The 17,273-nt window shown below is 41.2% G+C and overlaps 2 protein-coding genes across 17 annotated transcripts in view, besides 4 other annotated features; one reads left to right on the forward strand and one right to left on the reverse strand.

The window, feature by feature from the left end:
• Window positions 3,420-4,064: an enhancer, noted in NCBI's record as "H3K27ac-H3K4me1 hESC enhancer chr4:76932273-76932917 (GRCh37/hg19 assembly coordinates)". NCBI's record gives its function as "activates a minimal SCP1, AML or CMV promoter by ChIP-STARR-seq in primed H9 embryonic stem cells {active_cell/tissue: H9 hESC(primed)}" and the evidence as "EXISTENCE:reporter gene assay evidence [ECO:0000049][PMID:30033119]".
• ART3 (ADP-ribosyltransferase 3 (inactive)) overlaps window positions 3,490-17,273 on the forward strand; it is a 101,597-nt gene continuing 87,813 nt past the window's right edge. For all 15 annotated transcript variants that reach the window (XM_047415697.1, XM_047415700.1, XM_047415695.1 and 12 more), the window contains exon 1: window positions 3,490-3,620. The gene's annotated coding sequence lies outside the window, so the exon portion shown is untranslated. The remainder of the gene's footprint in view (window positions 3,621-17,273) is intronic.
• Window positions 4,352-4,411: an enhancer, noted in NCBI's record as "active region_21624". NCBI's record gives its function as "activates an Ori minimal core promoter by ATAC-STARR-seq in GM12878 lymphoblastoid cells {active_cell/tissue: GM12878}" and the evidence as "EXISTENCE:reporter gene assay evidence [ECO:0000049][PMID:35858748]".
• Window positions 5,786-5,905: an enhancer, noted in NCBI's record as "active region_21625". NCBI's record gives its function as "activates an Ori minimal core promoter by ATAC-STARR-seq in GM12878 lymphoblastoid cells {active_cell/tissue: GM12878}" and the evidence as "EXISTENCE:reporter gene assay evidence [ECO:0000049][PMID:35858748]".
• Window positions 9,384-9,883: an enhancer, noted in NCBI's record as "H3K27ac hESC enhancer chr4:76938237-76938736 (GRCh37/hg19 assembly coordinates)". NCBI's record gives its function as "activates a minimal SCP1, AML or CMV promoter by ChIP-STARR-seq in primed H9 embryonic stem cells {active_cell/tissue: H9 hESC(primed)}" and the evidence as "EXISTENCE:reporter gene assay evidence [ECO:0000049][PMID:30033119]".
• On the reverse strand, window positions 13,418-15,797 carry CXCL10 (C-X-C motif chemokine ligand 10). 2 transcript variants are annotated; one of them, NM_001565.4, is made up of 4 exons: window positions 15,671-15,797; window positions 14,991-15,117; window positions 14,666-14,755; window positions 13,418-14,248 (listed from the first exon to the last, which is right to left on the reverse strand). In NM_001565.4, exons 1-4 carry the CDS (start codon window positions 15,729-15,731, stop codon window positions 14,230-14,232), a joined length of 297 nt encoding a protein of 98 aa, NP_001556.2. In that variant the 5' UTR covers window positions 15,732-15,797; the 3' UTR covers window positions 13,418-14,229. The 2 variants fall into 2 exon arrangements, 1 of the variants encoding a protein (NP_001556.2); NR_168520.1 differs by lacking the exon at window positions 14,991-15,117.

Genomic DNA, 17,273 nt, shown 5'->3' on the forward strand with positions numbered 1-17,273 from the left:
GTAAGGGATGTGAAACTAGCAACACTGATAGCCTTTGGCACATTCACAGTTGCTCACCTGTGTGAAGAATAGGTTATATAATGAATATACTAATGTTATACAACAAAGGTTGGAGATGTGGTTTCCAGATGGGAAATATTAAAGTCCAGATAAATAATATACTTTTCAAATTCCCTTACTATTTATGGCATATTCTTCTGTATAATAGATGGCTACATTGATATTTTCTTATATTGCCCACTTAACAACTTAAAGCACCTTAATTTCCTCTGGGACCAGGTCATTTTCTACTAGTGGTAAGCTCATTCTGTATCATTCCTGCTACAGTATTATTTTTTAAACTAATAAATTGGTTAGAATAAGGGGTCAGTTGCATGTAAGAGACCCAAATTAACAGTGGCTAAGAAATGCAATAAAAATGAAGATAAATAGCTGGGACCTAATTAAAGAGCTTTTGCACAGCAAAAGGAACAGTCAGCAGAGTAAACAGACAACCCACAGAGTGGGAGAAAATCTTCACAATCTATATACCTGACAAAGGACTAATATCCAGAATCTAGAATGAATTCAAACAAATCATTAAGTAAAAAACAAACAATCCCATTAAAAAGTGGGCTAAGGACATCAATATACAATTCTCAAAAGAAGATACACGAATAGCCAACAAACATATGAAAAAATGCTCATCACTAATGATCAGGGAAATGCAAATCAAAACCACGGTGTGATACCACCTTACACCTGCAAGAATGGCCATAATCAAAAAATCAAAAAACAGCAGATGTTGGTGTGGACTTGGTGATCAGGGAACACTTCTACACTGCTGGTGGGAATGTAAACTAGCACAGCCGCTATGGAAAACAGTGTGGAGATTCCTTAAAGAACTAAAAAGCAGAATTACCATTTTATCCAGCAATCCCACTACTGGGTATCTACCCAGAGGAAAAGAAGTCATTATTTGAAAAATGTACTTGCACATGCATGTTTATAGCAGCACAATTCACAATTGCAAAATCATGGAACCAACCCAAATGCCCATCAATCAATGAGTGAATAAAGAAACTGTGGTTTATATATACACAATCGAATACTACTCAGTCACAAAAAGGAATGAATTAACGGCATTAGCAGTGACCTGGATGAGATTGGAGACTATTATTCTAAGTGAAGTAACTCAGGAATGGAAAACCAATCATCATCTGTTCTCACTGGTATGTGGGAGCTAAGCTATGAGGACACAAAGGCATAAGAATGATACAATGGAGTTTGGGGACTTGTGGAGAAGAGTGGGAGCGGGGTGAGGGATAAAAGACTACAAATAGGGTGCAGTGTATACTGCTTGGGTGATGGGTGAACCGAAATCTCACAAATCACCACTAAAGAACTTATTCGTGTAACCAAATACCACCTGTACCCCAATAACTTATGGAAAAATAAAAAAAAAAAAAACAACAACAGAAAACAGTGGCTAAGATAGAAGCTTATTTCTCCCTGAGAGATGTAGGTGGATTAGCACTTGGATAGTGGCTCTTTCCCATGAGGTCTTCCAGGCTTCTCCTTTCTTGTGTTGTCACCATCTCTAGATTGCTGCCCTCATGCACATGGCCAAAGGTGGCTTGCCACCATGTCCAATTTCCAGGTATAGGATGATGAGAAGGCAGAAAAAGGGCATGTCCCTCCTTTTTAGACATCCTAGAAGTTGCACCCATCATTTTCTATCACCTCCCATGGAGGCAGGCCTTAATCACATGGCTACACCTAGTTGTAGGGGAAGTTAAGAAACGTCATCTTTATTTTGGTTGACTAGCTAAAGATTGGAGATTTCCTTATTGTAAAACAATGTTTCTCAACGTTTTTTTTCATTATGGACTCAGCACTGCATGCGTGTGTGCGCGCATGTGCACCCACACACACACACACACCCCCCCACATTTCACCTTGCTCTGAGAAAAAATAAAATGAACTGAAAACTAAATTTAATTTCTTCCTGAAGAGAGAAATCAAATGCTAAGAAATAAGATTTTGTTGGGTAGGGTTGAACCTTGGTAGGCCACTAGTCATTGCAATATCTAAAATTTTTTAGCTCTCCAAGAACCAATATTTTCCCCCTTGGGAGCAATTTACCTCTCTTCCCATTGACAATGCATGCTGTAGAATTGGAGGAAAATGGATATTAGCATTTCATGTCACATGGTGCACATTTTTTGACTGACTTCTATACAGATTATTAATACTTAAATGGAATTACAGAATTCTTTTTGAATAAAACATGTGGTGACCATTGATACAGCTTATCCATTTGCTCATGCTTAATTTTGGTACTGACTGTGGCAATGCATAGAGTGCAAATAGGTTCACGTTCCTGCTTTACCACTTAATGACTGTGTGCAAAATACTTAATTTTTGTGAGCTTCATCTCCCTCATTTAAGAAAATTATTAGACCTCACAGGGTGTTAAAATTAATGCCAAGGACGGATTGTCAACTGCAAAGCCTCACAGGGCTAGTGGCTGTTCTTTCCAGCAAAGAAAGGAGGATGGAAATTTCTTAGGATAAGAACTAAGGCCCAGCACTGTTGGTGCTACCCACCTTTCTAGCCTCTTCTTACACAGCTCTCTGCTCCCATCACTTTGTCTTCTCTCAGTTTTCTTTTCTTTTCTCCTTCTCCTTCCCCTCCCCTCTTCTTTTCTTTTCTTTTCTTTCTTTTTGAGACCGTTTTTTTTTTTTGCCCAGGCTAGAGTGCAATGGTGCAATCTCAGCTCACGGCAACTTTCGTCTCCCAGGCTCAAGCGATTCTCCTGCCTCAGCCTCCCAAGTAGCTGGGATTACAGGCATCCACCACCATGCCAGGCTAATTTCTGTATTTTTAGTAGAGACCGGGTTTCACCACGTTGCCCAGGCCGGTCTCGAACTCCTGACCTCAAGTGATCTGCCCGCCCTCCCAAAGTGCTGCAATTGCAGGCGTGAGCCACTGCACCCGGCCCTTCTCTCAGTTTTCAAAGGGGACAATGCTCCTTCCCATGGCACTGTTTTTGCTCATGCCATTCTTCTGCCTGGAGCGACTGTGCATGCTCCTCATTCCTGCCCTCCTGCATAGTAGTTACTCACCATAGTTACCCAGGCCAGCATCATTTCCCTGGGAAGACTTTCCTGAACCCCAGAGGGGCTCTCACCGCACACTTGCAGAGGCCTTGCTGAGCCCGTGTCCGCAGCAACGCTACGTTTCCCTGCAACCCTATGGTTAACATTTCCTTCCACCACTAGGCAAGGAAGGCCTGCGACGCTCCCCGTCTGAGCATGGTGCTAAACACAGTGCCTAGCACCCAGTAAGCGCACACGCATGAGGGAAGGAGCTGGGAGCTGGCTCGGCAGGTCTGGAAGTTGGATAGGGTCTGTAAAGGGCTGCCTGGCTCCAGGGGCCTCACACGCAGCGACCTCAGCCGGGCCCAAGGTGCGTGTACTGCGCATGCCCAGCCAACTGGTCTTCCAGAACCTTCTTCAGTGAGGAGGTTATACCCGGAGGTCTCGACGCTCGCTCGTGCTGCTCGTGTTGCCGCTGGGTACGTTTGCTGCCAGTGCTGATCCAGCCGGAGGCGAAGAGAAGCACTTTGGGGGCAAAAGGTAGGGGTTGTGCCTTCAGGATCTCTCCTCTCTGTCCCCTGAGCGGCCCGCAGCCTCCCCAGCCGAGATGGCCGTGCTTTTGGGGATGGGTGGGAAGGTTCTCAGCGGCGGTGGCCATGAGCGAAGAGGCCCGTTTTGCAGGTTTCACACGAGGCTTGGGTGAGGCCAGCAGGGAACGACGGCCCCAGAAGGGCCAGGGCACTGGGCTTAGGGGTAACCCTGGGCCGTGGGCTTCAGTGACTGGGAAAGAGGCCCTTCGGATAAGAGAAAGGAGGTGTTGGGGTCAGTTGGGAGTCACTGAGGCCAGATCTTATTTGTTACCCAAAAAGGGGCTAATTTTCTGAGATAGCAAGCGGAATGGGAGGGCTTCTCTCGCCTGACCCTACTTCGTGGTGAAACTGTTCTGCCATGGTAGGGTAGGGCCCCGCCCCTCTGAGCAGGCTGGGGCCGCTGCGCCCAGCTCAGGCCTGTCCAGACACTAGTTTCCTGGGCTTCGTTTAGGAACTTGTCATGCAAAGTCTGAGAGCAACCACATTCTCTCAGGAAGCAGGCAGCGGGAAGGAGAAAATCCCATTGATCGTTGCATTTATGGCTAGACAAGGCTTTTAGGAGAAACAGAAACCTGATGAGAGGATGTTGCAGGCGTTTCTCACAGCCCTGGGAATGGAGCCAAAGATGATCTAGAGTTGAAATCAACAGTTACCAATTCCTTTTTGGACAAGAATTTTAACTTCCTGTGCCTTGAAAAATTCCAGTTCTGTGTCCGTAGGGGATCCAAATGCTAATGTAACCCCAAAGAACTTTACAAAGCGGAATTCTTAGTTTTCACAAGTGTGGCCCAGCCTCCCTCTTGAATCTTTTTGGTTGTGGAATCGAGGTGTTCTGTTTAATTATCCAGTGTGACTGACTCTGTGGCAGGGACGGTAAGAGCCTTCCCTTTTTACTTGTGAGAGGAGAAGTTTCTCTCATAAAGAAACCTCCAGGCCTGTTTGAATTTCTCACAGTGTGGATTTCCCCTCCTCTCGGCAGCTGTTGTTAGTATTAAACTGACTAGAAAGGGGTTTATTTCTTGAAAGTCTTAGAAGCCCCAAGAGAATATTCTGATTTTTCTTTTTCCCTCTCCTCTCCCCACGCAGGGAGTCATTCCTTCCTTCCTAAATACAACATGGTGAGTTACATGCAGGCAAATCCTAGCTGTGGGAGGTTTTATATCCTGTCTGCATCTAAGTCACTAAGAGAAAGGACCAAGTTCTTCCTTTGCTAATCTTATTATCTGGCTTCTTGGTTTATATTTCTCATGTAAAACTTAAGGACTGGGTTAGGTTTGTGAATAAACAGTTTTGAGAGAGCATGTTAAGGACATGATGTAAAGGACAACTTTTGCAAAATGTTGACAATAGCAACATTTTTGCTTGGTGACTTTAGGCAAGTCAGCTTGTAGTCTGAGGATATGTAACAATAGCCATTAAGAAGCTGCTGACTAACCTGGAGAAAAATTATCCTGAAAAGAAAACATGTTTATACTTAAAATATCCATACTTATTTAAAATGTCACTTTAAAATTGCATATGTAAGTAATTTTACAAGAAAAAATCCACATTCTTAAAAATCTTCATTTACTGTTTATCATTCATTTCATCCACCAAACTTTTATTCTTATGGTTCTAGACTCTGAGGTCACATATGTGAACAATGATTTCCTCAGAGAGTTCACAGTTCAGTGGGGGAAAACAGCATGTACATTAACACTTATTATAGAAGAAGTGGTATGATAAAGGATTGTACAGAATAATTGGAGGTACAGAGAAGTGCACAACCCTGGCTGATGGGTTCAGACGCAGCTGTCTGAGTTAGGTCTGAAAAGGAGAATTGGCTGGAATTTGTTACAAGAAGAAGTTGGGGGAATATTCTAAGCAAGAGGCAGGAGAAGGTATGCCAAATTTGAGAACCTGCAAGTACTTTAGCAAGGGTGGACGGTAGAGTGAATAATGGAGTGGTGAGAAATTGGTCTAGAAATGTGGCAGGAACAAGACGATGAAGTGCCTTGTGAATCTCTATGTGGGGAGGAGACACTGCAGAATTTTAACTAAGGGAATAACATGAGATTTATATATACACACACACACACACCCCTGTGTATACATCTGCCCCTTGTCACCAGTCTTTAATCTTATTTTACTTGAACATTTCCTTGTGTCTACGTAGTTTATATATTTGTAAAATGTTCTCATATTTCTAGCCTCTTCATTCTCAGTTCTGTGTATTTGAGTTGTTTCCAATAATGTCTCAGTAATACAACAGTGATCTTACTATTTTAAAAAAGATTTTACTCTCTTGGGGTATTTCCCATCTTTGAAACTGTAGGGACAAAGGTTAAAAAACGTTTCTGTATCTTCTGTAACATTTTGACAGATTGCTTGCCAGAAAGATTGGGCTATCAGTATGTAGATGTATCTGTTTCACAATCCTCTTGTCATTTTATTTACTTTTGTTCATTTAGCATGTGAAAATTGGCACTAGAGACTAGTGTTAATTCCATTTTCTTTACAAATTGATATTTTACTTTGTATTGGTTTAACATCTGCATTTCCTACCTTTTTAAGACCACTTGTCAAGTAGAGTCAGAGTTTTGACCTTGTAAATATCTATCAATTCTTTACATATTTTGATTAGGAAGCTCTAATGCATTTTTAGTGAAAATATTTGCTTTTTCCATTTTGTTAAATTAATTTCCTTCATAATTAAAAAAAAGAAAACACAACTTAGGGGCTGAATTGTGTTCCCCCACCGAATGCTTATGTTGAAAACCTAACTGCCAGTACCTCAGAAGGTGACTGTATTTAGAGATAGGGTTTTCACAGAGGTAATTAAGTTAAGGTGAGGTCCCTGAGGAAGCACAGTCTTTGGACTTACTAGACCAAGATATTAAATCAGCTGTCTTAAATATACTCAAAGAACTAAAGGAAATCATGTACAAAAAAACAAAAGGAAACAAGACAAAATGAGAATATTAATAAAGGGGTAGAAATTATAAAAAAGGAAACAAATAGAAATGATGGAGCGGAAAAGTGCAAAACTGAAGTGAAAAAATTTAGTAGATGGGTTCAACAGCAGTTTTGAGCCAGCAGAAGAAAGAATCTGCAAATCTGAAGATAGGACAATTGAAATTTTCAAGGCTGAGAAGTAGAAAGAAAAAAGAATGAAGAAAAGTGAACAAAGCCTAAGAGACCTATGAGACACCATCAAGTGGACCAATATATGCTTAATATGAGTTTCGGAAGGAGAAGAGAGAGAAAGGGACAGAAGACTATTCACAGAAGTAATGACTGAAAACTAACGAAATCCAATGAAACGTATGAATCTGCGTGACTCCAAGAAGCTCAGTGAACTCCAAGCAAGTTAAACTCAAAAAGATCCACACTGAGATACCTAATAGTCAAACTGCTAAAACTCAAGAGACAGAGAATCTTGAAAGCAACAAGTGAAGTGATTCATCATATACATCCAAGGGATCCTAGATAATATTAACAGCTGATTTCTTATCAGAAGCCAAGGAAGCAAGAGGGCAGTGAAACAACATGTTTAAAGTGCTGAAAGAAAAAAAATCTGTCAATGAAGAATTCTATATCTGGCAAAACTACCCTTCAAGAATGAAAAAGAAATGAAGACATTTTTAAATAGACTGAAGCTAGGGGGAGTTTATTACTAGTAGACTTGCTCTACACAACATATTGAAGGCAGTCCTGCAGGCTGAAATGAAAGGATACTAACTCCAAGCCATATAAAGGAATAATACTGGTAAAGGTAACTATGTAGGTAATATAAAAACCAGTATTATTGCACTTTTGGTTTGTACCTTCTCATTTTTCCTATGTGAATTAAAAAATGCATAAAACCATAATTATAAATATGTATTAATGAGCACACAGTGCTGTAATCTGTGACAATAACAATTGTCAAAGGGGAGGGATGCAGATGTATAGGAGCAGAGTGTGTTTGTTTACTGTTGAAACTAAGGTGGTATTCAAACTAGGATGTTACAAGTTTAGGATGTTAATTATAATCCCCAAAGTAACCAGTAAGAGAATAACTAAAAATATACAGAAAAGAAAAGAGGGGACTCAAAATAGTACACTCTAAAAATTCAACTACTTACCAAAAAAGGAAGTAATGGAGAAATTGAGGAACAAAAAAATAAGACACTTAAAAAATTCAATAGCTGAAAGGCAAAGTAAAACCTTCCTTATCAGTAATAACTTTAAATGTAAATGAATTAAGCTCTGGCCTAATGAGCTTATATGTATAAAGGTTTGATTTGCTTTGGTTTGTTGAGACAGGGCCTCACTCTGTTGCCTAGGCTTGAGTGCAGTGGCATGATTATGGTTCACTACAGCCTCAACCTGGCTCAAACAATCCTCCCACCTCAGCCTCTCGAGTAGCTGGGACCATAGGCATGCGCCACCATGCCCAGCTAATTTTTGTATTTTTTGTAGAGATGGGTTTTTGCCATGTTGGTCAGTCTAGTCTGGAACTCCTGGGCTCAAGCGATCCTCTGGCCTTGGCCTCCTAGAGTGCTGGGACTATAGGCACAAGCCTGGCCTGGGATTATAGGCACAATGCCTGGCCTAGGTTTGTTAGTATTTTATTGAGGATTTTTGCATCAATATTCATGAGAGATATTGGCCTGTTGTTTTCTTTTTTGATGTGTCTTTGATTTTGGTATCAGGGTAATACTGGCCTTATAGAATGAGTTTGGAAAGTCTTTATTTCTCCTTCATGTTTAAAGGATATTTTCACTGGATATGCTATTCTAGGTTAAACATGTTTTTTCTTCAGCACTTTAAATATGTTATGCCATTCTATCCTGGCCTGTAAGGTTTCCACTGAAAAGTTTGCTGCTAGACATATTTCCAGATATTTGAAGATATTTGAGTGTTGCTATCTAAGCCATATTTGCGTTAGGAATACCCCAAGCCCAGTAATACTGTAGTTTTTGCAGACTCAAAGAGATACCGCCTTGGTCTTAGATAAGATTTGGAAGAATTCTCTGGATTACCAGGCCGACTCTTGTTCTCTTCCCTTAGTTTCTCCTAAACAAATGAAGTCTCTCTCTCTGTGCTGAGCTGCTTGGGGTTGGGGGTGGGGTGACACCAAGCACACCTGTGGCCACCACCACTGACGTTGTGCTGAGTCAGACCTGAAGCCAGCACAGCACTGGGTCTCACCCAAGGCATGTCACTGTAACCACTACCTGGCTACCATCTGTGTTTGCTCAAGGCCCTACAGCTCTACCATCAGCATGTGGAAAAGTCAGCCAGGCTTATATCCTTCCCTGCAAGCAGCAAGTTTTCCCAGGCACCAGATGGGCCCAGAGATGCTGTCTGGGAGCCAGGGACTGGAGTCAAAAACCTTAGATATCTCCCTGGTGCTCTATTCTGTTGCGGCTAAGCTGGCACTCAATCTATGAGACAAAGTCTTTCCCATTCCTCCCTCCCCTTTCCAGAGGCAGAGGAGCCTTTTACTCATGCCCATCACCACAGACCCATGGGATGTACAGACAGGCTACCTAACACCAATATTCACTTAAGGCCCAAGGGCTCTTCAGTCTGCTTATGGTGAATGCTGCCCAGCCTGGGACTCACGTTTCAGGGCAGTGGGCTCCCCTCTGGGCCAGGGCAGGTCCAGAAATGCCATCTAAGCCCAGGCTGGAATTGGGGGCCCAAGAGCCCACTTGGTGCTCTACCTCACTGTGGCCGAGCTGGTACCTGTGGTTCAAGAAAAAGTCTCCTTTACTTTTCCTTCTGCTTTTCTCAAGCAGAAGGAATCTCTCACTATGACCACCACAGTTGGGAATGTGCTGGGTCTCACCTAAAGCCAGCATATCTGAGTCTCACCCAAGGCCCACTGTGTACTACCTGGGTATTGGCTGCTGGTTATTCAGTGCCCAAGGGCTCTTCAGTCAGCAGGTGATGAATCCTACCAGCAGTGGGTCCTTCCCTTCAAGGCAGCAGGTTCCCTTCTGGCCCAGGGCATGTCTAGAAATGTCATCCAAGATCTAGGGCCTGGAATAGGGGCCTCATGACTCTCTGCCCAGCACTCTATCCTACTGTGGCTGAACTCGTATCCAAGTTTCAAGACAAAGTCCTCTTTATTCTTCCCTCTCCTCAAGCAGAAGGAAGGAGTCGCTTTTATTGCTGTGAGCTGTGTTGCCTGGAGTTGGGAAGGGTGGTGCAAGCACTCTCTTTGCTGTCCTGGTTGGTGTCTCATTAGGTCATGTTCCCCCAACTAGGTTGTGCACTCCCCAAGTCCACTGGCTCTTCAGCACAGCACTAGGACTGCCTAGGACTTGCAATCCTTGTGGCCTAGACTGCCTTTCAGATTTATTTAGGACCCCAGAGCACTTTAGCGAGCAGAGGCAAGACTTGCCAAAACTCAACTTCTAACCACTAGGATGGGTGATTCCCCTTTGCCTGGGGATGGTCTAAATGCTCCCTCCATGGGCATCCACTGAGTTCAGCCTAATTTTGCTTTCCACTGTGACAGAGCATGACTGGGTTCCCCCAAGCACACAGATTATCTTTCTGTGCCTCATGGCCACTGCCAGGGGAAGGGAGAGGGGTGGCATTGGCCATTCAAGACCATCTTTCCTACCTGGTTTTAACTTTGTATCACTGAAAGAAGTACTGATTGGTTCAGCCACTGTGAGAAGCAGCTTGGATATTTCTCAAAGAACTTCAAATAGAACTACCATTCAACCCAGCAATCCCATAACTGGGTATATACCCAAACAAGTGTAAATCATTCTACCATAAAGACACGTGCACATGTATGTCATCACAGCCCTATTCACTATAGCAAAGATATGGAACCAACCTAGATGCCCATCAACGGTGGACTTCATAAAGAAAATGTGGTACATATACACCATGGAATACTAAAAAAGAACAAAATCATGTCCTTTGCAGCAACAGAGATGAAGCTGGAGGCCATTATCCTAAACAAATTAACACAGGAACAGAAAACCAAATACTGCATGTTCTCACTTATAAGTGGGAACTGAACATTGAGTACCCATGGACACAAAGAAGGCAACAATAGATACTGGGACCTACTCGACAGTGGGGGTAGGGAGGAAGATGAAGATTCAAAAACTACCTATCTGGTACTATGTTCATTACCTGGGTGATGAAATAATCTATACACCATACCCCCACAACACACGATTTACCCATGTAACAAACCTGCATGCGTACTCCCTAAACCTAAAATAAAAGTTGGAAAGAAAAAAAATTCAAGAAGTATTAAATACAAAGTAATATGCCATGAAAAGTCTCCCTGTGCTATGAATGGAATACCAAGTTTACTGTATTTTACATTGCCATATAAAAGTGAATCTAAACAAAGCAAATGAAGAACATATGCCAGAGCTGAGCATGGTGGCTCATGCCTATAACCCCAGCATTTTGGGAGGCCGAGGTGGGTGGATCGCCTGAGCTCAGAAGTTTGAGACCAGCCTGGGCAACATGGTGAAGCCTCATATTTGTATTATCTACCAAAAATACCAAAAAAAATTTAGCTGGCGTGGTGGCACATGCCTGTGGTCCTAGCTACATGGGAGGCAGAGGTGGGAGGATTGCTTGAGCCTGGGAGGTGGGGGTTGGAGTGAGCCGAGATCACACCATTTGCACTCCAGCCTGGGTGACAGAGTGAGACCCCATCTCAAGGAAAAAAAAAAAAAAAAAGAACATATGCCAGAAAGGAAGTAATCCAATGAAGTCATGGGAATTTGAACATAATAAGATTCTTTGTGAAAAAAATGGCCCCACCAAAAGATGAAAAATATCAAAAAGATTAGAACTAAGTGTGTTTTTGTAATACTCAGGAAAGGAGTAAAAAAGAAAAGTAGAGTAATTACAGAGAATAAAAGCAGTACTATTCTGGTGATGGCTTGTATTGGCTAGGGAGAGCTAATGGTTAGATTTTCATGAATTATGTGAGTTAGTTTTAAAATACAGTCATTATTAAAAAATAAACTACGTATTTGCAATTGAATGAACTATGTTAAAATTATACTACAACAGATTTTATTGTTTCTTTCTAGGAAGATCAGTGTACTGTACACTGAAGCTTGTTAAATAAAAAAAATTCAATCTGATAAAAAAGCAATTCTTGGCTGGGCACCCTGTAATCCCAGTTGAGATCGCGCCACTGCAAGCTCTGCCTTCTGGGTTCACCCCATTCTCCTGCTTCAGCCTCCCGAGTAGCTGGGACTACAGGCGCCCGCCACTACGCCTGGCTAATTTTTTTGTATTTTTAGTAGAGACAGGGTTTCACCATGTTAGCCAGGATGGTCTCAATCTCCTGACCTCGTGATCCACCCATCTCGGCCTCCCAAAGTGCTGGGATTACAGGTGTGAGCCACCGCGCCCGGCCATATCACATTCTGATGTATGTCCTATGCAAGAATATCTGTGGTATATACATAGTAGTAGAATTGCTGGAACATGGGGTATGCCAGTGTTTAGCTTTGTGAGATAATGCCAAACTGTTTTCCAGAGTAGTCATAGCTATTTTTTCTTTCATCAGCAGTGGAAGAGCATTCCTCATTGCCTTGCATCCTTGGCAATGGTTGATGTTATCAAACTTAAAAAGTTTTGCCAGTTTAGTGGTGTGAAATGTTATTTCACAATGATTTGAATGTACATTTCCTTGATTACAAATGAGGTTGAACATCTTTGTATGTTAGGGGCTTATGCTTCTTACTTCTGTGAAATTCTTACTCACTTCTGTTTCCTTTTTTTTTTTCTTCTTTTTTTTTCTTTTAGAGATGAGGTCTCACTCTGTTGCCCAAGCTGGAGTGCAGTGGTGCAGTCATAGCTCACTGTAACCCCAGACTCCTGGGCTCAGGTGATCCTCCTGCCTCAGCCTCCTGAGTAGCTAAAAAAATATATTTTTTTTGGTAGAGACAGGGTCTCACTGTGTTTCCAGGCTGGTCTCAAACTCCTGAGCTGAAGAAATCCTCCTGCCTTGGCTTCCCAAAGTGCTGAGATTACAGGCATGAGCCACCACACCCAGCCTTGTCTTTTCCTTTTTGATCTATGGGAATTCTTTACATATTCTAGATGCTAATAATTTGCCAACTAAATGTATTGTGAAGATCTTCTTAGTAAGTAATTGGATGTGGGAGGAGAGGAAGAAGTAGTATAGAATTACTCCCAGGTTTCTGGTTTGGGAAACTGATTGGATGATGGTGCAATTAAACTAGGACATAGAATAGAGGAGGAGAAACAGATCTCAGGGAGAGGAGAATTAGTTTATTTTGGAGTTTAAACTAAAGTTCCTATGGGATATTCAAGTGGACATGTCTTAGAGAAATTTGGCCATAGGGCTGGATGTGGTGGCTTGCACCTGTAATCCCAGCTTCTCTGGAGGCTGAGGTCAGAGGATTACTTGAGCCCAGGAGTTCGAGGCTGCAGTGAGCTATGATTGCACCACTGCACTCCGGCTTGGGTGACAGAGGAAGACCCTGTGTCTAAAAAAATAAGAGATTAAAAAAAAAAGAAATTTGGCTATAGGGATTTGGAGATTAGGCCAAGCTCTGTTATGCTACATTAGTTCTGTAGGATCTTATATGATGGGCCTTTCAGGAGATTACAGTTGGAAGGAGAGAGAGTGGTAATTCTCTAACTCATTTGTCTTCTGCCCATGCCACCTTCTTCTCCAGGCCATAGATTTCTCCAATCTAAGTTTCTTATGAAATAAATATCCCAACCAAGTGACACACAAGGCACTTCATCTTAGTTATAATTACTTTATTAACCTTTTGATCTTTCAACATTTAGATAGTCTTTCTTAATATTTCCAGGAGAGTACCTCATTTTTATTTTGAAAACCATTCAGCACATTTATCTTATGTAACATGCAGAGCATATATCTATCTGTATTTTTAAAATTTTCCTGTTACTCATTGATACATAGTACTTAATTACATGTTATTCCATGTACACTGAAAACAATATAGGAAATATATACATCTAAGACTTCTACTTTGTACAGTCTTTCATTAAATAAGAATACTTACACATACATTTTCAGATATTTCTACCTTCCTGTATGTGTTTGGAATTGTATGTAGGTAGCCACTGAAAGAATTTGGGCCCCTTGGGAGGATGGCAGTGGAAGTCCATGAAGTAAAGAGCATTCTTTAAAAAGCAGATTTGATTGCATACCTTTTAGTTATTTGAGATTCTGAGAATTCTGATAAACCCCAAAGCAGAAAGATTCCTTAGTACCCTTGGAAGATGGGAAAGGTGAGGGAAATATTTGAAGCAGGGTCAGAACATCCACTAAGAACATAGCACCTCAGTAGAGCTTACATTATAGTGCCAGGGTAGAGTTATTACTGAATAGCTTAGGATGATGAACATTAACCTTCCTACAGGAGTAGTAGCAGCTGATTTGGTGACCATCATTGGTCACCTTTTAGTGTAACTGCAAACTAAGAACAATTATGGCTTGACATATACTCCATGTAGGGAAGTGATGGGAGAGGCAGCCTCTGTGTGGTCCATCCTTGGAAGCACTGCATCGATTTTGCTCCCCTCTGGTTTTAAGGAGATCTTTTAGACCTGTAAGAAGAGAAAGGGGATATAAAAGTGTGATAGTCTGACTCTGGCTTCAGATTGGGTTGTGTTTGGAAAGTACCGAGTTCATAGAATAGATAACTGAGCTTTCCTGCTGCTATGCATTCATTATGGATTATAGGGGTTGCTTTTTTCAACCATGAAAGACTTGGGGAAAATGTTGTCAGTTTTGCTTAGATAGTTATAGCTGTACTTCAAGGTTGACTGGTAATCAGGGTAACTTCTGATACTTATCACACAAGATGGTGCCTCAGCATTTAAATAAATGGAGGTAGGGGAGGGCGTGGTGGTAACATACTTTTAAACCAGCGATTGCACAGCAAACCACAATGCAAGTATTTCTGACTCCCAAGATTGCCGTTTCCTAAAGAGCAATTCTTCTGCAGGCAACAGCAAACCTACCTTTCCTTGCTAACTGCTTTCAGTAAATTCTTGATGGCCTTCGATTCTGGATTCAGACATCTCTTCTCACCCTTCTTTTTCATTGTAGCACTGTAGAAATAAATAGGGATGAAAATATTTAAAACTGTGTTGGGTCAATAAAACAGATGGCATACGCAGTTCTGAAGTCAGACATTTAAGTTTCACTCTGCATGTTTTTGTTTGCTGTACATTAGTTTTAGAATCATCACAAACCCTTTACTGATCTTTTTTTATTATCATTACATATTTAATACAGTATATAATTACAACCAGGGAAGTGATAATCAGATGGGATTTCACTCACATGATCTCAACACGTGGACAAAATTGGCTTGCAGGAATAATTTCAAGTTTTTCTAAAGACCTTGGATTAACAGGTTGATTACTAATGCTGATGCAGGTACAGCGTACAGTTCTAGAGAGAGGTACTCCTGTAGGAAAAGAGGAACAGCAGAGAAGGTTAGCACAGTGTTCATTTTAGGCATTTAATGTAGACTGGTGGTATTTAGCAGAACCTATATCCCCATATCAGCAAATAGTCACTTAATCTGAGGAGGAATGGATCACATCATAACACAACTGTAAATGATTAAAGAGTTGATTATCTGGAAGAAAAGAATTGCAGCTTGTTGATTATAAAGTCAAACCCTTAAGCACAGTTCATGTGGTTCATTGAGCTTAGTTAGGTAAGGAAGTATCTGTATCTCATCTCTGTCCGCATTCCCTCACATTTTCTCTCTCTATCCTCCCTCTTCCCCATCTCTTCTGTCCTCCTTCCCTTTTTCCTTCTCTTTCTCTTATTCTATTTGTTTCTCTCACTTCAATTCATATAAGTTTTATGATCTGAGGGAATCTCTATTTATTTCCCTCTTATTTATAAGCATGCAGTGAAACTTTTACAAATACATTATTTCTGTATTTTTAGAATTTATACCTATTCCTATTTCTCATTTTACAAATTAAGTATCCTTTGATGTTCCTTACCTTGAATGCCACTTAGAGTCAGAAAGATAAGGCAGCAAATCAGAATGGCAGTTTGATTCATGGTGCTGAGACTGGAGGTTCCTCTGCTGTAGGCTCAGAATATGTCTAAGCAATTGAGGAATGTCTCAGAAAACGTGGGGCTAGTGTGCCATATTTATCTGCAAAGCCATTTTCCCTCCCTAATTCTGATTGGATAAGGGCATTACAGTTGACTTAGCAAAACCTGCTGGCTGTTCCTGGGGAAGTCCCATGTTGCAGACTCGAAGGTATTATTTATTGTAGCCTCCAAGTTACGGAATTTCCCTCTGCTCCTCTTTTTTTGGTAATAGTGAATTAGGTTTCACTTTCCAAAACATGAACTGTTTCTTGAAAAAAAGAACTTCATTGCATATAGAAAAAAACAAAGGTTGCAATCCATTCTAACTATAATGCTTTTTCTCAACACTTAAACTTTTACAGTTACTTTCAGAGGTTATTTTTCAAAATATCCCCAGTAATAGAAATTTTTCATCCTTTATAGGTAAACCTAATTTTTTGGTAACAGCAAGTTGTGCCTGATTATTAGAACAGTGATTTACCTGGACAGTCCTCCTTGATCAAATACTATAAAGTAATAGGACTGGCCTGCTTTGACAGGGTCAAAGATCTGGAACTGGCAAGTTTTAAATAATTCAATAAATGCTTTGATCATTCATAACACCATTAGATTAAGTAAATAGCCTCCAACATAACTATTTTGAGGGAAAACATTGCTCATTTGGGTATCTGATTTGTGGTGTGTTAAAACAAGTTTCACGTCTTATAGCAGTCCCTGAATGAAAACATCATAAGATGGTATCTAGAATGGTGTGAGAAAAGGATTCATAGCTATCCTAGGGTTATTGTAAAAAACAAAGGGTGCTTTTTGAGGAAATGAATTTAAAAGCGGGGGGGCACGCATAGAGACAGACCTTGGGAAAGTAGCTTGAGACAGAAGGGAAACAGGTTGATTTACGATGGGGTTCAGCTCCAAGACACTGTTAAATGCAAAGAAAAAGAAAAAAAAAGTGTTGGCCATTGAGCTAGTAACAGTGATAACTGAAATTGGCACAATTTTAACTGGATGATGAATCGTGGCAAAACTTAATTTCACAGCATTCAATAGTACTTGACTGATTATTCATAGTAGCTAGCAGTAGAAAGCACATGATACTCATATAATGGAACACATGTTGAACCTGAGAGTGGAAATTTAGCAGTATCCATGGATATAGTGGTCCTTGGTTGTGTTCTTTGCAAATGATTAGTAACAGGGAATCCAAGATGAAATACTGTTTCAAAGGCAGGCACCACCCTGCAATGAGAGATCTGAGGCAAGTGATATTTAGAACCTAGGAAAATATATGGGAGTTCTTTTCATAGTCAGCTGGGCTGCAACAATGCAGGGATTGGTCAGGGAATGGAAAAGCTTCCATCCTAGGATCAGGCTACTGTACTAGGCAGATACTGTCTCAGAACCTGGTATCAGGGGCCAAGAATAAAGCCTGTATCTGCAAACTGGGTGCACATAAAACTTGGATCCTCAAATGTAGGAACTCCATCATTAAAGCAGAGAGTGAGTTGC

This window comes from Homo sapiens, chromosome 4 (assembly GCF_000001405.40).
Source record: "Homo sapiens chromosome 4, GRCh38.p14 Primary Assembly".
Taxonomy (NCBI): Eukaryota; Metazoa; Chordata; class Mammalia; order Primates; family Hominidae; genus Homo; species Homo sapiens.